Source organism: Homo sapiens, chromosome 1 (genome assembly GCF_000001405.40).
Source record: "Homo sapiens chromosome 1, GRCh38.p14 Primary Assembly".
Classification (NCBI taxonomy): domain Eukaryota; kingdom Metazoa; phylum Chordata; class Mammalia; order Primates; family Hominidae; genus Homo; species Homo sapiens.
The window spans coordinates 93570981-93591834 of NC_000001.11; the positions used below are offsets into that span (position 1 = coordinate 93570981).

The 20854-nt window shown below is 48.3% G+C and overlaps 1 protein-coding gene across 35 annotated transcripts in view, besides 4 other annotated features; it reads right to left on the bottom strand.

The window, feature by feature from the left end:
* The window catches only part of BCAR3 (BCAR3 adaptor protein, NSP family member), a 286411-nt gene that overhangs the window by 9240 nt on the left and 256317 nt on the right, over positions 1-20854 (bottom strand). For 26 of the 35 annotated variants that reach the window (NR_178023.1, NM_001261408.2, NM_001412054.1 and 23 more), the window contains 5 exons: positions 17997-18439; positions 13038-13141; positions 11321-11973; positions 5034-5149; positions 690-861 (listed from right to left, as the gene is read on the bottom strand). Coding sequence is in view for 33 of the 35 variants with exons in the window: in NM_001261408.2 (NP_001248337.1) it covers positions 690-861; positions 5034-5149; positions 11321-11973; positions 13038-13141; positions 17997-18439 (1488 nt within the window). In the remaining 2 variants the exon portion in view is untranslated. Of the gene's footprint in view, positions 1-689; positions 862-3386; positions 5150-10198; positions 11974-13037; positions 13142-13991; positions 14183-17996; positions 20188-20854 lie in introns of those variants that run through there. The other 9 variants (NM_001412065.1, NM_001412066.1, NM_001412072.1 and 6 more) reach the window with 6 other exon arrangements.
* Positions 1502-2499: an enhancer, noted in NCBI's record as "OCT4-NANOG-H3K27ac hESC enhancer chr1:94038039-94039036 (GRCh37/hg19 assembly coordinates)". NCBI's record gives its function as "activates a minimal SCP1, AML or CMV promoter by ChIP-STARR-seq in primed H9 embryonic stem cells {active_cell/tissue: H9 hESC(primed)}" and the evidence as "EXISTENCE:reporter gene assay evidence [ECO:0000049][PMID:30033119]".
* Positions 13729-14241: an enhancer, noted in NCBI's record as "H3K4me1 hESC enhancer chr1:94050266-94050778 (GRCh37/hg19 assembly coordinates)". NCBI's record gives its function as "activates a minimal SCP1, AML or CMV promoter by ChIP-STARR-seq in naive H9 embryonic stem cells {active_cell/tissue: H9 hESC(naive)}" and the evidence as "EXISTENCE:reporter gene assay evidence [ECO:0000049][PMID:30033119]".
* Positions 17609-18153: an enhancer, noted in NCBI's record as "H3K27ac-H3K4me1 hESC enhancer chr1:94054146-94054690 (GRCh37/hg19 assembly coordinates)". NCBI's record gives its function as "activates a minimal SCP1, AML or CMV promoter by ChIP-STARR-seq in primed H9 embryonic stem cells {active_cell/tissue: H9 hESC(primed)}" and the evidence as "EXISTENCE:reporter gene assay evidence [ECO:0000049][PMID:30033119]".
* Positions 18154-18698: an enhancer, noted in NCBI's record as "H3K27ac-H3K4me1 hESC enhancer chr1:94054691-94055235 (GRCh37/hg19 assembly coordinates)". NCBI's record gives its function as "activates a minimal SCP1, AML or CMV promoter by ChIP-STARR-seq in primed H9 embryonic stem cells {active_cell/tissue: H9 hESC(primed)}" and the evidence as "EXISTENCE:reporter gene assay evidence [ECO:0000049][PMID:30033119]".

Here is a 20854-nt window from a genome sequence, read left to right on the forward strand (position 1 = left end):
ATCACCTGAGGTCAGGAGTTCGAGATCAGCCTGGCCAACATGGCAAAACCCCGTCTCTACTAAAAATACAAAAATTAGCCAGGTGTGGTGGCCCACGCCTGTTATCCCAGCTACTCAGGAGGCTGAGGCAGGAGAATCGCTTGAACCCAGGAGACAGAGGTTGCAATGAGCCAAGATCACACCATTGTACTGCAGCCTGGACAACAGAGCGAGACTTCGTTTAAAAAAAAAAAAAAATAGACCCCAGTCCAGGTACAGTGGCTCATGCCTGTAATTCCAGCACTTCGGGAGGCTGAGGCGGGCAGATCATGTGAAGTCAGGAGTTCCAGGCCAACCTGGTGAAACCCTGTCCCTACTAAAAATACAAAAATTAGCTGGGTGTGGTGGTGCCTGCCTATAGTCCCAGCTACTTGAGGCTGAGGCATGAGAATCACTTAAGCCTGGGAGGTGGAGGTTGCAGTGAGCTGAGATTGTGCCACTGCTAGCCTAGGTGGCAGAGTGAGATTCTGTCTCAAAAAAGAAAAAAAAAAGTAGACCCCAAATACTTAGGACACTGTCCCCTAAATGAAGCAGCTTTCACTAAGATTCAATTTACTTTTGAGATTGACTAAAATAGTCTGATTTGCCAAACATGGCATGCAGATCTCTTTACAGAACATTAAGTACACATAAAGTAATTGGAAATTTACCTGTGGCATTTCCAGGGCTTTCATGAGAGCTGAGAAGGAATAGAGGTCCCCCATGGAATCCTTCAGTTCCACCGCCACCTGGATGATCTTACTCAGAGTGGCCGCTCGGTCCTCCAAAGTGCCCGTGCATCCCAGAATGTCCACTGCAATGCCGATGGCCATTGTGTTGTGTCTGAAAGCCAGGAGATCAGCGGTCAGGTTCAGGGCCAATGGGACTAGGAGAAAACTAAACCAAATCAGCCAAGAGCAGGGCTGTTTTTGTGCCATTTGCTCCTTTTGCTCTAAAATGTGCCGGCAGCACAGTTTAGACGGCCAATCTCAACAGAGAGAACGCCCCTTAGCAGGCTGACTGTGGAGGGCCAAAGTAGGCCACAGAGGGTGCACTTTCAGTCAGAAAGCAAGATGTCCCCGGACAGGGCCACATTCAACCCTGGACCTGGGGGCACAAAGAGGGAGCTCCTGGGGCAAAGGTGCTCAGAAGTGCATGTGGCTCCTAGTACCCTGTACCATGAGAGGTCCATGGAGACAGCAGGTCCCCCAAAACGCCTGAGAATCTCTCCTCGGGGAATCCCAGGGCCACCTCCACTGAGCCCCCTGGATTTGGGGATGGAAGGGACAGAAAAATGTGAGGACATGCTTGATCCAAGACAATAACATGGCCATCAGAACAAAGGCAGGAAAGAGGAGGTAAGAATGGTGTTCTCCAGCCCCACTCCAGAGGCCAGGAAATGAATGGGGAGGAGGATAAAGATTGAATAGTTGATGGGCTGGAATGTGCCTGTAAGGCCAGACCCTAATAAAATCGAAATCTCATTTTCCCCAACAAACCTCCCTTTTCTCATCCTAAACTACATGGGTCAACCTCAGAGACCCAAAACAGGAAGCAGGGTGATCTTTTCTCCGCATGACAACAGGATCAATATGAATGGGGTCAGTCTGCGGCAGAAAGCATAGACTGTGACCCCCTTTCCTTCCCACTGTAAATCAGGACCCAGGAGTTAACTGCTTTAGACCAGAATTGCCTCAGTTTCTTCCAGGCTGTGGTACAAGTGCTGGAGGCGAAGCCCCAGTTTATAGCTGTAGTTACTAAAATACAGCATGCATTTGAACTCCAGGGCCACTCTGTCCTGAACGTTCGGAGCTTACGATGTTACTCCACGCTGTGCTCTCTCCGTGCCCAGGTGTGTTGGTCGGTCTCTTGCTCTCCCTGAGCAAAGGGCAGCAGGGATTCATTGAGTGCTTAGCATCACTCATTTCTCTAATGTTTGTTAAATAGGTAATGGGCTCTGCCTCCAAGTGTGTTTGCGTATATATGCATGTATGGGGCTCACTTGCAGTGTAAGCTTGGGCTGGTACCTAACTGCTCCACTCCTCAGGTTCTTCATCTGTAAAATGGGAGCAAGGGTTGTGAGAAGGAGAGACTGTGTATAGGTGTGAAAATAATTAAAGTGAGCCAGGTCTCAGGCCTGTAATCCCAGCACTTTGGGAGGCTGAGGCAGGCACAATGCTTGAGCCCAGGAGTTTGAGACCAGCCTGGGCAACATGGGCTAAACCCCATCTCTACTAAAAATACAAAAATGAGCCAGGCATGGTGGCACATGCCTGTAGTCCCAGCTACTCGAGTGGCTGAGGAATGAGAATCGCTTGAACCCAGGAGGCAGAGGTTGTAGTGAGCAGATTGCGCCACTGCACTCCAGCCTGGGTAACTAGAGAGACTATCTCAAAACAAAAATAATAATAATAATTAAAGTGCCTGGCACTGGCGGGCACCTAATAAATAGCAGTTGTTACTAGAGTTGTCTCTGTACATGTCTCTCCCTGTGTATCTTGGTCCATTTTCCCTCTTTGTCTCCATCTCTTTCCTCTTTTCTCCATTTATCTCCTTCTCCTGATTTGTCTTTCTCAATTAATGAATCCAAACATAGACCTAAAATATATTTTTATTATTATTATTATTATTATTATTTTTTTTTTTTTGAGACAGGGTTTTGCTCTGTTGCCCAGGCTGGAGTGCAGTGGTGTGATCATGGCTCACTGCAGCCTTGACCTCCCTGGCTCAAAGGATCCTCCTGCCTCAGCCTCCCACGTAGCTGGGACCACAGGCATATGCCACCATGCCCAGCTAATTTTCGTGTTTTTTTGTAGAAACAGGGTTTTGCCATGTTGCCCAGCTGGTCTCGAATTCCTGGGCTCAAGTGATCCACCTGCCTTGGCCTCCCAAAGTGCTGGGATTACAGGCATGAGCCACCACGCCCAGCTGTTATCTGATACATTTTTGGAAGAGTTTTCTTATCCATTTGCAAAATGTTAACATTGACAGAACATTTTAGATGTTGCTTTTAACTATAAACTCACTTCCCATGCTGCATTCAATTGATTCTTTATTCAGTGTTTTCTCTCCCTGTGTTTTAATGGCCCTCTAGTGTTGTATAAATGGTTAACTGAATGGTTATATCCATTCACTCAACCAATATTTGCCTGAAACCTCCTGGATACACCGACTATGGGAAAAACAACTCAGGCTGGCAAATCTGCAGCAAAAGCTCCTGTGGTTGGCAAGAGGAGGCACTCAGATGTCACATGAAGGACACTTCCAGAGCAGTATGCCTGGAATGGGTGAGGTGGTAAATTAAAAATAAAGGGTGGTTTTGTATTTGATTCTCAAATGCAAGAAGGTGATATCATGTGACACATCAGGACCTCTATAACCTTGGCCTTTATTTAATAAACACATTGTAATTAATAAAACTACTCCCCAGGCTCTAAAAAGAAGATCCCACAGGTCACAAGAAACAAGCTAAGGAGCAAGACCCCAGCCAAGAGGCAGTCAGGAGAAAAGACAAATGAAGTGGAAAGTCAGAAAACAGCCAAGAGAGAAGCCCCAAACCTGTCACCCTCAGCCTGTCCCAGCACACTGAATGATACTAAGAAAATAGGGCTCAGATTCATGAGGCCTGGAACCTGCGGCCTTTCAGGCTGAAATGTCTCATGGGAGAAATGGCAAAGTGTGGTGGCACAGCTCACCTCTGCTGATAGAACGAAGCTAGTGGAGCCGGGAGGTCAGGCCCCTAGGGCAGGAGGGAAAAAGGGGACACCCGGAGAGAGGCTGGAACCTAGAAAAGTCTCATCAGGAAGAGCAGGGAAATTCAGAAGCGGGACCTAGAATTCCCCAGAGGCTTAAGCAATGGGTATTCCCGAACAAAATCCGCATGGCCCACTTCTTCACCTCCATCCTCCCACATGGCTGCAATTCAGCATTCTGGGTATTTTCTATGGGATGTATCCACGGCTGCGAGGCCAAAACAGCAGCAGCATAGGAGTCATTTTATCTGCTGTACAGCCGAGGAAACTCTAAAGCAGCGACATCCATCCCCCGAGAAGTGGCTTTTTACCGTGAAAACAGCAAATTCTAATTATAAAAAGTCATCCTTCAATCACATCAGTCACATTTCAGGTGCCCGAGAGTGACATGTGGCTGGTGGCTACTGTAATAGCCAGTGCAGAATGCGTCTGTTACCACAGAAAGCTTTCCTGGACAGCACTGTGACCTGGAACTTCATGGAAAGCCATGGGCAGTCAGTAATGGCAACTAGGACATGGGCTGGACAGACAGAAAACTTAACAAGATAGTCTTGCCCAAATCAACTTTTAAAAAATGTGTCAAAAAGGCTGGCTTTGTGGTAATATGGATATCTAGTCTAGAGCTTCTTTTCTTAAAAACATACCTCATTGTTGGTGTCTTTCTAATTCCTAAACATTCCATTTCAATGGATGCCCAGGGCCCTGGCTTTTCATGAGAAGAGGGGAGGGATGCCTCGGAGGCCCCGGACCAGTGCCGTCATCCCCTAACCTCTGACCCTATTTGTCCACCCCTCAAAGAAAACACTGTCTAGACTCTGCTCTTCCCAGCCTTTCCCACAAACTCCTCCTAATTCCTCAAGCAATCTTAACCCCCAAAGAGACAAAGGGGCAGCTTGCTGGGCAGGAGACCCAGGAGACTCCAGGTGCTGGGGCCCCAGCTCTGCCCCAGGCTGCAGGATCTGTGACTCCTGCTCACACAGGCCAATTGAGTCACTGGCTTCAGGCCATCTATTCTCTCCATCCACTCCTCCAGGAGCAGGGACGGGAACACATTCTTTGTTCCTGAGTTGTGCTGTCTTTGTGTGCAACTCCAGGAATTCTCAGGCTCAGGCTTCTGGGAAGAGTCGCTGTAGGCCATGCGCCCTGAAGTACTGTTACCCCAGGGCTAGGCTGGTGCTGCGCCTCTCTTTGTTCTAAAACCTGCTGCTCTGATGCCTGGAAGGAGCTGGGAGGGTCGGAAGTGCAGAGGACGGCACTGCTCACCTTTCAATTATGTCCAGGCGCAGCTGGTGTCCGTGAGGCAAGGTAATGAGTTCCAGGCCTGAGCTCACCCCCATGTTCCTCCTCATCTCTTCAGAGACTCCAAGTATCCTAGCAACCTGTCAAGAGCCAAAGTTGAAATACACTGGATCAGGAAGTGGGCTTGCCTGATCATGAATTCAGCATATGAGAAGAAACACACTGAACTACGATGGCGTGGACACTTTATGAGTTACATTTCTTTATAAGCAGCTGCTGACAATGCTGTTCTTATATGATGTTTAGGGTGTTTAAATACACATAGTACAGTATAAAACTTAGGGGGAAAAGAAAGACTGGTGGGAGATGCTGACACTGCTCTGCAGATCTACAGATTTGTTAAGTGTTTCTGCCCAGCCAGAGAACAGTTTAGTTCTCTGAGCTTTTGTCTGACACCGGCCGGATCCTGCTGCGACGTTTTGCTGCCAACAGCAAGGCTGCATGTGTTCGGAGCTGACCGATCCCCTGCAGTGGAAGAGCAGAATCTCATCCAAGAGCCTCTCCGCTGTGGGCTTTGCCATTCATGTTCTCACTTAACAGCCACAGCTGGCTGCTATTACCCTTAATTACGCTTCTCCTGGGCTCAGTAAATGCTCTATACGTCTGGAAACTATTAAAAATGTGTACAGTGATTGGAAACCTGAGCTCTCAAACACTCTTCTTTCTCCTGAGAGGCTTTTCTTAAAATCTTTGTCCCAGACAGCTCTCAACCCATCTCAATTCTAGTATGTAATCTCAGTTTATTAGAATCAGGTATTAGTTATTACAATGTCATGGAGAAGTGTTACAACTGAGCCAGTGTGTCTCTAAAATGGGGCCAATAGGCCAGGCAAGGTGGCTTATGCCTCTAATCCCAGTGCTTTGGGAGGCCAAGGTGGGGGGACTGCTTGAGGACAGGAGTTTGAGACCAGCTGAGCAACATAGCGAGACCCCATCTTTACAAAAAAATTAAAAATTAGCCAGGCATGGTGGTGTGTGCCTGCAGTCCTAGCTTCTTGGGACACTAAGACAGGAGGATCACTTGAGTACAGGAGTTTGAGGTTGCAGTCAGCTATGATCATGTCACTGTACTTAAGCCGGGGTGAGAGCAAGACACTGTCTCTAAAAACAAAAGAAAAATTAAACGGCGGCTAATGACACCTCACAGCACAATGATGTACTAAGAGTGGAACTAACAGATGCAACAACAAGTCTAGCCACCTGAACACACGGCAGGCATGGGACGGTTCCTCTCCTTGATCTGGTACACTTGTCCTCAACCTTAATTACCCCAGGCTATCAAAACACATCTGGATGTTTAGGTGGTATTACTAACCCTACCCTGTAACTTCTGTGGCTGAACTACTGTCAACCCTGAGGGGATGACCCTGTGGATGAGCTCTCTAGTGGTAGACGCCACGACAGGATGCAGAATTCCTACTGTGCTCCTACCTGTGCTCTCTGGGCCTCAGTTTCCCCTTTTCTAACATAACTGCTAAGTTCACCTTTCTCAAGGACTTTGCAAAGGATTCAGATAACTTTAGAACCCCTAAAAGCTACCTGAAAATACAAGTTTTGAATCATCAGCCATGTGGAAAGGGGAAGAATTCTGGCCAGATCTTGGGAAAGAGATTTACAACTTGACCTTGGCAAGGCAGCCCAGACGCACGCCATGCACGCTTCCTCGCATATTTAGACAGCTGCCCTCTGTCAGAGGTCCCAAACCCTGTACTTCTGAGGGGTGTCCCCCACGCTCTGGGTGGCGAGATTAAAAGGCCTGTGATTGATTCAGGTTTGCTCTGGAAAACCTGGCAGATGGGCGGCGGCCCCTGCTCTCCAGTCTGCATTTCGTCGGCACATATATGCCATGCCTGGGTCACTTCCCTGGAGCCACGCCTGCTTGCCTGAGGGCTGAGGGGATCCCAAGCTCACACCGCAGGGCCTGCATTAGGTTCCCTGACAAATGCCCAAGGTTATGCAGCTCACTGACACAAAGGAAGGACAAACATGTCTAGAGCATTTACTGTGAGCCGACTCCACAGGGCAGGGTGGCAGAAGCACCCCCGATGAGGCTTCCTTCTGCCCTCCAAATCTTAGCTGGTCTGCTCTGCTGCATCTCTGGACTCCACCCTCTGCTCCTTCTTCCACTGCCTTGGAGGCTGCTGCACGGACCCAGGAGAGCCCTGATGGGGTCCCGGCCCAGCCCTCCTCCCAGCCGCAAGGGCCTTTCTAAAATGCCATGAGATTGCCTGGCTCCACTCACTGGTTCTGTTCCCCTTGGCACAGAGGATCAGATCTGCACCCAACTCAACTGTAAAGTGCCTTGAAGGCAAGAAACTGGTATGAGCCCAGAAGTAGAGACTTAGAAAAGACGTATGAAGCCCTCCCACACCCCACCCCTAACCCCATCTTCTTCCACCCACACAGAATGAATCTGCTGTAAACCAACCCCTCTCTCCATGGGTTTTGACAACTAAGTGTCTGTGCATGTGCGTTGCCTGCCGTCTGCAAGATGCTTTTGGTGTTCATCGGGCCAAAGATGCAGCCTTCCAAACTCATCTTGGACATCTCTGCCCCATCTCCACACCCAACTCCCTGTTCAAGGCCCTGCCCAGAGGCCCCACAGCTCCTGTGCCTTCCCCTGCAGGGCGTTTCCCACCTGGGTTGTGGCCCAAGTTCCTGCATCACTGTCCCTCCCCAGCCCACCCCCACCTGATAGCAGGTGCTCCAAGAGCAGAGACCACAAGCTGCCCTGGCACAGTAGGCGCTCAGTCAAAGCTGAATATATAACACGGATAAACACTTAGTGCTCACTGTGGGCTAGGCAAGGTGCCCTGGGCTTTTAATATATTATTATCTCATTTAGTCCTCGCTGACCACCTGGGTAGCTGTATTCCTTACAGACAGGCACAGAAGGGGAGGCTGTTCAGCTGATGTGGCAGAGGCAGGATTCAGGCTCAGTCGGGCCAAGTGCTTCACTACTGGTCCTCACTTCTAGCTATAGGCAAAGACCTTGCGCACGGTGGGAGGGGCTCAGTGGCTCCTAACTAGGCCCTTGGGGGGTGGGGGCATGGACACAGCAGGACAGGGAGCCTGGAGGGCTCTTAGGACCACCCACTGTCCTGATGGCCTATCTGGGCATCTGCCCACATGGCTGGGAACAAGCACGCGGGGCCCAGATGCTAGCCAGAGCCTGCTCTCAGCTTCTGGGTGGCCCTGTCTGGGCTGCCACTGCACTTGGGATAGGAAACAACAGGTCTTGTTGTATTTCCCTCTTAGAGATGCTGATTGTGCCCGCTTGGAAGTCAGTGGTTCCAGGAAGATAACATGGAAATGGTGGTAGACTCCAGAGACAGGGAAGAAGGAAGTTTCAACATAGCCCTGCCCTGGGGCTGGGTGGGCAGAGTCCAGGCTAGCTCCTGCTCGCTGCCTGGGGACCCCATCCAGCCCCTTGTCCAGGGGTGCCTGCAGGCAGACATGAGAGTGAGGCCCCACTAGGAGGACAAAATGCACCACAGCAAGCCAGGGAGACTGCATTCTTCAGTTGGGAACATCCTTGGGGTCTAGTTTCATGGCTACCAAAGGTAGTGGGCAGGTCCCAGGCCTCCTGCCAAGGGCGGGCAGGCAGGCATCTCTCCTCCACCTAGAGGATCATTAAGCCCTGCCCAGGGCCACAGGAAGGATTCATTCCCCTGGGAATCGGGCTGCTCTGTAAACCCAGGCCTGTTTCTACGAGGAGCTTCCTCTATGGAGAACCCACGCAGGTTCATACCAGGCCAGAGTCTCCCTCCTGGCCCACTGACATGGTTCTGCTCTCAGATTCAGGGCCCAATGTGCCTGACTGACTAGAACAGAAATCCTCAATCCTCCTACCTCCCAAACAGGTTAAGCTCGCTTTAAAGTGAGGTCCGGATAACTTCGCAAATTGCGTGACTACCTGTGAGCACTGCCCGAGGCCATCTGGCCAAAAGTACAGCAGGCCCTTGTTCTTCCAGTGCAGCCCTGGCTCTCTTCTCAAGGCCTGCTCAGCAGAAGTCCACCCTCAGCCCCACCTCCCAGGCCTGGGCAATGAGTTACTCTGGTTTCTGAGTCATCCCTCAAGTTCTGTTGTCAGCAAGGGTCTTGTTTACTCCAGGATGGTCAGCAGCTGCCTAAAGTTCCTCAAGCCTGTTTTGGGGAGCCCTCCATCAACTTTGGCACTCCCTGCAGGAGTGTTCTGAGACTGGACTTCTTGCCATGATTCAACACATAGGAAGGAAAACCCAGTTCCTAAATAAGCCCTGACGTCTGAAGCTAATTGACTTCACTGAGCTACAAATAAAAAAGGGCTTCAAATGCCCAGGAACCAGCCTCTTTATATTGAAAAGATGGACCGAGCCCACCATCGCCTGAGACAACATCTGGTGTCTAGAATACAGTCAGCCCTCCTTATCCGTGGCTTCTGCAACAGTAGATTCAACCAACCAAGGATCAAAAATATTCAGGAAAAAAAAAAAAAAAGCTGCATTGGTATGAAACATGTAGACTTTTTTCCTTGCCATTATTCCCTAAATAATGCAGTATAATAGCTATTTACAAAGCATATACGTTGTATTAGGTGTTGTAAGTAATCTAGAGATGATTTAAAATCTACAGGAGGATTGCATAGGTTATATGCAAATACTATTCCATTTTATATAAGGAATGCAAGCTTCTGTGGATTTTGCTAGCCACTGAAGGTCCTAAAACGAATCCCGACGGATCTGAAAAAGTGACTTAATCTCTCTTAAGGATGAGGTTGCTTTGGGACCACCTATGAACAAAAGTCACTTACATCTAAAATAAACGTTTCCTACAAAAAAATGGTGATGGGCCGGGTGCGGTGACTCACACCTGTGATCCCAGCACTTTGAGAGGCCAAGGCAGGCAGATCACTTGAGCTCAGGAGTTCAAGACCAGCCTGAGCAACATGGCAAAACCCTATCTCTACAAAAAATACAAAGAGTTAGCCAGGTGTGGTGGCATGCGCCTGTGGTCCCAGCTACTCAGGAGGCTGAGGTGGGAGGATCACTTGAGCCTGGGAGGCAAAGGCTGCCATGAGCTGTGAACGCACCTCTGCATTCCAGCCTGGGTGACAGAGTGAGACCCTGTCTCAGAAAAAAAAAAAAAGGTGACAATGTAAATATTTAATCACATGGAAAGACAGTCATGTTTGTCAATGAAAGGTTCAGGGTTTGGAATAGTGTGTACAGACCTGTGGCAAACAGATATTACACATGCAATTATTTACATGTATCCATTTACAGAGAAAATAATAATGTTTTTGCGTAAACCAAATGCTGACAATGGTGATCTCCAGGAAACTGGATTTGTGTGGTTTTATCTTTTAATCTGTATTTTAGAATTTTTTTTTTTTTTTTGAGACAGAGTTGTGCTCTTGTTGTCCACGCTGGAGTGTGATGGTGCAATCTCAGCTCACCACAACCTCCGCCTCCCAGGTTCAAGCAATTCTCCTGCCTCAGCTTCCAGAGTAGCTGGGATTACAGGCGTGTACCATCAAGCCCAGCTAATTTTGTATTTTTAGTAGAGACGGGGTTTCTCCATGCCTCAGGCTGGTCTTGAACTCCTGACCTCAGGTGATCCACCGCCTAGGCCTCCCCAAGTGCTGGGATTACAGGCTTGAGCCAACATGCTCCGCCATTTTAGAATTTTTCTAAATTGAGGAAGGATTATTTTAAAAATCAAGGTAGCTTTAAAGATGTTTATACTAAAGATCATTTTAGTAATAAAATAAATATGTAATGCATAAGTATAATGTAATAAAAATAACCAAGGTCTGCTACTCCAGAAACTACATTTTCATCTACAATCTACTCTCCTGTAGCTTTGGCTTTACCAATTCTGATGGAGCTGAGGCAAGGGGGTAGTTTATAAATAAGCACCAGGTGTGAGGAGGATTCTGTTGCAGCTGCTGATGCCAGCAGGGGTGGGTGGGAGAAGAGGGCGGCCCCCACCCCCGGCAGCAGCCTGCCATCCCTCTGTCTGAGATGAATTTTATAAGCTTCCTGCTTGGGCAAAGGTTGTCCCAGCTTGTGGTTCCCACCCCTTAAATAAATTCCCATGCTGGTGTTATCTTCAGACTTTCCTATGGGCAAAGCATTTAATGGGTGAGGCAGAGTGAGGCCAGATGGATCCCCTCCTTCCAAACCTACAAAAGCCAGAGGAGCACCGGGACCCCTAGCTCTTACCAAACCTTGAAAAGCCAGAGGAGCACCAGGACCCCCAGCGCTTACCCTGCAGTCCATGCTCAGTACGTGCTGGGCGATGACCTTGGGGTCGTTGTTGGTGAACAGTTCTTTTGCACGTTTCAACATTGCTGTTTCCAGGGGCTTATTCTCAGGGGGAAGGAACTTTGACTCAAACTCGTTGGGCCTGAAGGAGGAGACAGTCTCCAGGAGGGGCGTCACAAACTCGCCCTTGTCCCACTGCCCCTTCTCCATCTGAGCTGCCGCAGGTTCCCAAGGTCTTTCCCTGTCATCATCATCAAGGATCAAGTAGTTGACGCCAGAGTTCCGGGGACCTGGCGCCTCATTCTGCTTGGCTGTGAGCAGTTCTGTGTGGCTTCCCTGGGCACATGAGGGTAGCTTTGCTCCCCTGCCGCAGCCTGTGGCAAACGCTGGGTTCAGTTCACAGTAGTTGGCCTCTGAGTTGAGCCAGGCAGAGGGAGACGAGGGAACCTTGAGGAACGGCACCTTGCAGGGCTTAGGCGGGGGCTTAGGGCACAGTTGACTGTCTGATCCCCTCAGCGCCTCCCCAGCCCTGGCGTCTGAGGAGACCCTCCGAACCACTGCTGGGCTCAGGGCAGGCTCGCTTCCCGTCCTGAACACAGGTGAGTTTGGGCAGGGGCTTGTGTCCACACCCGAGGACTGAGGTGGCAGCTTGCAGCCTGTGGGGGATAAGAAAAGGTCAGAGAAAGCTCATCTGTGTGGAGAATATAAAACAAACAAAACCAGAGTGGCAGCTCCCCAGCCCTCCATTCATGCCCTTGGGCTTCAATTTTCATTTTCATTTCCAAAAGAAAATTCAGTGTGACTGTCCCACGCCCAATCTCAGGGAGTCTACAGCATCGTGAGGGCTGGGCTGGGCTTGCCCCATCCCACACTCCTGGGTGCAAATAGAAATCCCGGGGACTGCTGACACCTGGGCTACAAATGTTGTATGGTCATAGAAGGCTGGGACAGTCAGAATGATAAAATATATGAGCGAGGAGGGCATGAATAATGTAATCTTGCCCTAAGAAACAGAAGTCGTTAGCCACCTAAAATGCCACTCTCAAAGGGTGGATCCCAGCCAGCTTCCAAAGGAGAGCTGGAGACAGGGAAGGGAAAAGAGACACTGGGGTAACCTACATGGAGGTAGTTTACGCAGGGGCATTAGGAAAATCCCTTTGTGGTCCCAGGGAAAGTCAGTTATGAAAATAATGAAAACAACCCCCTGTCTTACTAATGTAACTGCTTAGTAGGTCTCCCCATACCCCATACCTTATCACTCTTCCAGCCTTGGAAGCAGAATGGAGAGGAAGGGGAGTTGGCCTGGACAGCTGTTCTGCCAAAAGCCCCAGGATCCACCCGCCCACCCGGGAAAAGGGAGTAGGCTCATTTGTCATGAAGACTACCAGTTTTTAAATGGGCTTGAATCAGAAAACCTGGGTTCAAATGCTGGGTGATTCTGGACAAGTTACTTAACCTATCTGTGCCTCAGTTTCCTCAGCTGTGAAATGGCAATAATCATGCCTACCCTGAAGGCTTGCTACGAGGCCTAAAAGCTGGCATACGGTGTCTAGCTCAGTGCTTCGCCGCCGGATATAATTCTGCAAACCCATTCCCCTCCAGGCTGCAGGCCTGAGGCCTTGTGTCGTTTTCGAATGAGACAACTAGATGGGGCAGGGTAACAGCCTGAAGGAAACCAGGGTAACACTGACGTTCTCCCTGAAAATTCCCCGAAACATACCAATCGGCAGGTAGCTCTCTGACTGGTGGGCTTTGAGGGACAAGGCTCTTCTGTCCTGCATGTGATCCAGGCAGGCGGGCTGGCTACCACTCTTTTCTTTGTTTCTGAAGTAAAAGACACATAGGATGGAAATGTGTTACTAACGTGTAAAATAAAACTTTTAGGCAATGCCATGGGAACTTAAACAAAAACAAAAAAAAAGAAAACTGCTCAGAACGAGAGTGCTACAGCATACCCTAAAAGTAAAGGAATGACCGCTGGAGAAACAAATTACTGATGGGACGATTAATATATGACTGTGTTGTGTACTCCATCCCCCTGTCCCCATGACCAATGCAGCAGCTGAGTCCTAGGATGCCTCCTCTGGGCTGTTCCATCCTGTTGAACAGAGTAGGGTAAAAGTTTTACGATACTCCCGGGAAAATCTGATGAACTGGAATGTGTACTTTTAACAGAGCCTAAAATTACTTACAGGCCCAGAGGGAATGGCTTGCCTAACTAACATGCATTTTCCACATGCTCCATAGTGTTGCAGTTAGGAAGGAAGCTGTGGGGAAACTTCCATTTTGGTGCAAATCTCAGCATCCCCCAAATAACCTGCAGGACTGCCTGGGGAGGCTGCCATCCCCAACCTCCTGGCTGCTCTCGGGGGACCCCCACACAGCCTCCTCCTGCTGAGCTGGGAAAAGGCACCGGCACGGTCACCAAGCAGCAGTTGGGAGGCACACTGTGTAACCACACAAGGAAAAGGTGGAAGGTAACTTTCAACACACTCGCTGTTATTCCTTCTGTCCCTTTCCAATTCAGACTGGGAATTTCTCCAGCACCAAGCACCAGAATCTCCCTAGCTAGAGACAGAGGCACTGCACCAGCCAAGTTGTTATGAACTTTAATTGGCCTTCCCATAAGCATAAAACATTGTTATGTTACAGAAATCACGAAGTTCTTTCCTACCTTTACAAGCACCAAAGAAAAAACAAATCAAAAAACCCCCAAACTCCAAGGAACAGAGAAATTCCAGCAACCTTTCGAAGATAAGACAAGACCGAGGGCAAATTACAAAAGGAAATATCTCCCGAGAAGTGATATTTAAGCAGTGACCACTGCGGCTGGACTCCAGGGGCCAGAACGGCAGGGTGTGGAATGCAACCTGCCTGTGAGCACACACCTTCGCCCAGGGCAGGCCACCAGCCAGCCAACTAGCAGGCCCGACGTCAGGGCAGGTGGCACCTGGCCAGAGCTGCATAAGGGAGCCACTGAAGGACACTGGGGCAGGGCAGCAGGCCATGAGCCATCTTTTCCCCTCCTCCCACTTAAACATTTCTGGGCGTGCTGCGTGTACAAAGTGGTGACAAGTTCTAGGAGGATCTGCATTCCAAAGGGCAAACAGAAAAGTGGCTCTATTAGGCCTGACTTGTTGACTTAAGAGACTTAGTCTTTTTTTCATTTCTTATCTTAAAAAGTTTTTAAACCAGGATCATTCAGGGCCAACTAGGAGGCCTTCCCTGCAGCAGTGGTTCTGTTATCCTGCCGAATACACTCCCACTCTGTGCATGACATTAATTCCCTGCTTCGACCATTCAGCAGCCTATCCTTCCCAAAGGAAACAGAAGAAAAGGTACCCCTTCTAACACTGTAAGGCATCTCAAGTCCAATCCTATTACTATGAAAAGGAGGATTTCTAAATATCAGGTCTTGCCTCCCTCCTTGCAATTGCCCTGAGTTTTTTTGTTTGTTTTGAGACAGGCTCTCGCTCTGTTGCCCAGGCTGGAGTGAAGTGGCATGGTCATGGCTCACTGCAGCTTCAACCTCCCAGGCTCAAGCAATCCTCCCACCTCAGCCTCTCGAGTAGCTGGGACCACAGGCACACACCACCATGCCCAGCTAATTTTTATATTTAAAAAATTTTGTGCATACATAGTAGGTGTATATATTTATGGGGTACATGAGATGTTTTGATACAGGCATGCAATGTGAAATAAGTGTATCATGGAGAATGGGGTATCCATGCCCTCTAGCATTTATCCTTTGAGTTACAAACAGTCCAATTACACTCTTTATTTTAAAATATATAATTGTTTTGACTACAGTCACCCTATTGTGTTATCAAATAAGTCTTATTCATTCTTTCTAAATTTTTTGTACCCATTAACCATCCCCACCTCCCTCCCATCCCCTACTCCCCACCCACTACTACCCTTCCCAGGCTCTGCTAACCATCCTTCTACTCTCTGTGTCCAAGAATTCAGTTGTTTTGACTTTTTGATCCCACAAATAAGTGAGAACATTTGTCTTTCTGTGTCTGGCTTATTTCACTTAACATAATGATCTCCAATTCCATCCACGTGGTTGCAAATAACAGGATCTCATTGTTTTTATGGCTGAATAGTACTCCACTGTGTATATACACATTTCCCTTATCTATTCAGCTGTTGATGGACACTTAGGCTGCTTCCAAATCTTAGCTATTGTAAACAGTGCTGCAACAAACATTGGTGCAGGTATCTCTTTGATATACTGATTTCCACTCTTCTGGGTATATACCCAGCAGTGGGATTGCTGGATCATATAGTAGCTCAATTTTTAGTTTTCTGAGGAACCTCGAAACTGTTCTCCATAGTGGTTGTACTAATTTACATTCCCCTCAACAGTGTAGGAGGGTTCCCTTTTCCCCACAATCCTCACCAGCATTTGTTATTACCTGTCTTTTGGATATAGGCCTTTTTAACTGGGGTAAGGTGATATCCATTATAGTTTTGATTTGCATTTCTCTGATGACCAATCATGTTGAACACCTTTTCATATGCCTGTTTGCCACTGCAGTGGCATGATCTCGGCTCACTGCCTCCTGGGTTCAAGCAATTCTCCTGCCTTAGCCTCCCTAGTAGCTGGGACTACAGGCGTGCACCACCACACCTGGTTAATTTTTGCATTTTTAGTAGAGATGGGGTTTTGCCATGTTGGCCAGGTTGGTCTTGAACTCCTGAACTCAGGTAATCCACCTGCCTCGGCCTCCCAAATTGTTGGGATTACAGGCGTGAGCCACCATGCCCAGCCCATTTGTATGTCTTCTTTTGAGAAATACTCATTTCTCAAAAGAGCAAATCTTTTGCCCATTTTAAAAATCAGATTATTAGAGTTTTTCCTATAGAGTTGTTTGAGCTCCTTATATTAATTTTCATATTTTTTGTAGAGACAGGGTTGTGCCATGTTGCCCAAGCTGGTCTTGAACTCTGAAGCTCAGGCAATCTGCCCACCTTAGCCTCCCAAAGTGCTGGGATTACAGCTGTGAGCCACTGTGCTGGGTCTGAGTCTGACATTCTACTCTCCTCCAGATAATAATTATCATGAGCACTTCCCTAGCACCTCCTCTGTGCCTGCACTGTTCTGAGCACTTTGCATATATTAAATCATGTACACCTCACAAGCTCCATCTTTCTAGATGAAGAAGGTGAGGCCCAGGAAGGTCAAGTCGCTTGCCCATGGTTGAAAAGTTGCCCAATGTGGAGCCGGCATTTGTGCCTGGCTACTGGGTCCCCAGCCAGATGCTGACTAGCATGTGCCGGAGCCTCCAGGCAGCACACAGCTGTCATTTACATTCCACACAGAGTCCTGTATTTTCCTCCCTAAGTTTTGCAGTATAGAAATGACAGTTTATGACATTTCCTCATGGACCCCCCCGCCAAAAAAAAAAACCAGTGAGTAGAATAAAATATGTTGGTTTACGTGCATAAGATTAGAAGCTGGGAGCCGGGTCAGGGCTGCTGTGTGACTGAGGGGCTGGACTGGATCTATGTCCCCGATGCCTGCCTTTTCCCTCCTTTCCTTTCCCAGTGCTTTTAGATAATATGCACAAAGACTCTGAGCTCTGTGAAAGACGGGCCCTATACAAATGCAGGCCAACGTCGCTGACATTTGACAGCTGGGTGCTTAGGATCAGTGAGGTTTTGAAGCCTTGATTTTCCACCAAGTGCCCTGAATCTTTCTCTTCCCCCATTCCCTGAGATTCAGACTACAGACCCCATGTTCTCTGCATCTCCTATCTTAGAAATCTCATCTGTTCTCACCAAGTGAACCACCCTTTCCAGGTGGACCAAGCCCTAATTTAAGTTTTCAGCTCTAACTCCCCTCCTGGACCCCAAAACTGCTGCTGGACTGTGGCACTCAACAAGCCCATAGTCTTCCAGCTCAGATGAAAAAGTGTGTTTTATCCTCCAAAGTCCCCTCCCTCCTGGTCACTCCTGTGGTCTCCAATGTGCCCTCCTCTGACTCTACCACGTGAAGAAGAGTCCTGGGAGGCCAGGCTCCTACATCTCTTGACTCTCCCTCCACTCCACTCCTGCAGCCGGGGCCCTCCATGACTCACTAACTGGGTTTCCTGTTCCTGTCTCTCTCCTCACCCCCGGTACATCACTGTCCATTTCTATTCTTAGGACACCGTGTTCGCTATGCTGAGTCTGTACAGCTCCCTTAAAGCCCTGCACCTGGCATTAAGGCCCCCATGATCTGGCTGGGGCTATCTCCCTAAGCCCACTGCTACGGGTCCCTTGCACAGACCCTTTGTTCCAGCCCTACCAGCACATTCACTTCAAGCTCTTCATACCATTTTCTGTCCCCACACTTATGCCCATGCTATGCCTCCCACCTGGAACACCCCCAGCCCTTTGCAGCATCTATCCAAATTTCCCCCAGCCATCAGACCAGCCTAAGTCTACCCCCTTCACAAGGTATCCCCATCAGCACCCCCCGAAATTCTTCCTCAGCTCCTGTACCATTCATTGCTGACACTGCTCAGCTGGGAGCTAATTGTTCACTGCCTCGTGACAGCTATTCTGCGAACAGTCGGCATTCCTATTAACATCTTTTATTTCTTTGTTCCATGATGAATTCTTCACCTGCCTAACTAACCTTGGGCACCCCGGCGCCCCTCATAGTCCTGCAGAGGAGGCCCTGACCTACCTGAGGAGGTTTCCCCTGGGCAAATTCTGCTCTCGGGCCTGGACGCCACCCATGGTGAGGCTCAGCCTCTTGGCCACATCCGGCCTTCCCTTGGTGAGGCTGCCCTCCCGGGCCTGGCCTGGGGAGGTGCCATAATGCTCCTCCAGGCACCGCAGAGGCACCGTCCTGTTGATGGGCTGGAAGATGATGGCGCCACTCTGCTGGGAGATGGGCCGGCGGTTGCCCACGTAGCAGCGCACCAGGCCGGGGATGGAGTCGAAGCTCTCCATCTCGAACTGGTACTGCACGCGGCTGTAGGCCTCGCTGAGTCGCAGAACTGTCCGGTTGATTTTGAAGTGCTGAGCGAGGTTCTTCCACTGACAGGTCAGGACAAAGTTCCCAGGGCTGGACAGAGAGTCACGAACTAGGAAGTCACCATCTCGCTGCACAAGGTTTTCAGACACCTTTGGGACAAAAAGGTGAGTGAGGAGTAGGAAAGGCAAATTCACATTCCTTCTAAAAGCTTATGGCTACCCACTTCTCTGGGCCAACAGAAGACAATGCTACTATGTCTCTTCTTGGGTCAGCTCTTTAGTTTTTCAAAGATCAAATTCATAGAAGAGCCAATCATTCATTCAAGAACTATTCACTGACCACCTACTCGTGCCAAGCACCACTGCAGGCTCAGGGGATGCAGTGGTGACAGTGGCACACAAGAGCCCACCTTATGGAGCTCCTGTTTTTGGTGGGGAGCTTCTGTTTTAGTGAGGATAAATAACCAGTGGCTATGGTATGTCAGCTGTAAGGTCAGGGAAGAAGTAAACCAGGAAAGGAGGCAGGAAGTGCCGGGGAGGGGATGAGGGCTGTCCAGTAAAATAGGGTGGTTGGGGAGGTGTCACAAGAACATGACGTTTATACAGACCTGAATGATGTAATGAAACAGGAAATAAGAAATGAGAAAATGTGTGCCTGGCAGGCCTGATTTTCCCTCCCCAACAAGTGGAGTGAAGAGAAAGAAGGGTATTTGTTGGTGTCTAGAAGTCATCCTAGGGGCCCTCTCCTAAGATGCCCCTCTCCAGGCCTGGCCAGTGGGGAGGAGGAGTCCACATGCAGGACTGGGGTATAGATTCTGGACACACCAATTACTGGCTAGAAGGCCTAGAACAAAGTCAGGCTGGGGTCCCTCATCTTACAGTTACTATCAGGGTTATGTATTTGTATACATAACATATGTAAGCACTGGAACACAGTGGATGCTCAAAAATAGTTAACAAGCATGATGCTGCTGCTTACAGCAACTGGAGAATTTATAATGTGGTGCAGCCTGGCTGTTCCTGTAGCCTGACCACCTGGGTTTGCATCCTGGCTCAGCTGTATGACTCTGGACAAATTACATAATCTCCTTGTGGCTCACTTATATCATCTGAAAAACACAAATGATAATATTACCTATAGAATGGCTACAAAGATTTAAGGGGCTAAAATGTTAGCAATAACTCGTTATTACGGTTATGGTTATAGTGTTCAGTTATCCAGTTTGGAACGATTTATCACTGAAAATTAATACTCATGCAAGTAGTAAACGAATGTAATGACCATGATAAGGAGACGGACGGTGGTGATAGTATCGGTTTTATAATTCTGACAATTTTTCTGGAACATTCCAACATTTGATCAACAGTATACTTCTGTTAGGTCAAAATAGTAGGCTACCATGGTTACTTTAAAATTGCATCTTTGCCTTAAAAATGTTTTCACATAGAAATGCCACTTCTTAGAATTGAGCCTGTGAAAATAATTGTAGGTATGAACACAGCAATCTTAAAGGATATTGGTCAGAGTATTAGAAACACCCTATGTGTCCAGTAAATTGTAGTGCATGCATACCGTGGACAGACATACAATGTAGGCTGGTGCAGAAGAATATTCTACAGTGGGTGAAAATTCCCAGGACATAGTAAGTGAGTAGAATGGGCTACCAAAAAAGTATATGTAGTACAATCTCATACTTGATTTCAAAAAGCCCGGGAGGATGTATGTACACAAAAGTATTCATCGTGGTTATCCCCAGGAGAATTATGAGGAGAATTATGGATAAGAGTTTAATTTCCTTCTTTTTGCTATCTATGTTTTCTACAATCAATTTTAAACTTAAAAAAACAAAGTCAGAATAATAATTATTTATTTGATTGTGCCAAGAAATCTACTACATTAAAAAAAAAAAAAAAAAAAAAAAAGCCTGGGCACAGTGACTCATGCCTGTAATCCCAGCACTTTGGGAGGCTGAGGTGGGTGGATCACTTGAGGGCAGGAGTTCGAGACCAGCCTGGCCAACATGGTGAAACCCCGTCTCTACTAAAAATATAAAAGTTAGCAGGGCATGGTGGTGGACACCTGTAATCCCAGCTACCAGAGAGGCTGAGGCAGGAGAATCGCTTGAACCCAGGAGGTAGAGGTTGCAGTGAGCTGAGATTGTGCTATTGCACTCCAGCCTGGGTGATAGAGTAAGACTCTGTCTCAAAAAAAAGAAAAAAAACTTACGACATGATGCCCTTCCCCCCAGCCCCTGTCCACACACTTCCTGTCATGTTGTCCTTGGTTAATGATTGGCCAGATCAGGTTTACAATAAAAACCCAAGGGAAATTCTATGCCTCAATTCTGCAGACTTACTCTATTTTTCAATTTTTACAGTATTAAATGAAAAAACATTATTTATGGCAATCACCCAAATGACGATCACAAAGTATATTCTGGGCCATGAGTCTGTGGTCATGGGTTTAATTCCCCTTTTTTCCCACCTCTGGGTCACAGGATCCAGTAGGGAAGTGATGGAGAGTGTGAATAACTGCCAGCTCAATGGGGCAGAGGCAGCCTTGTT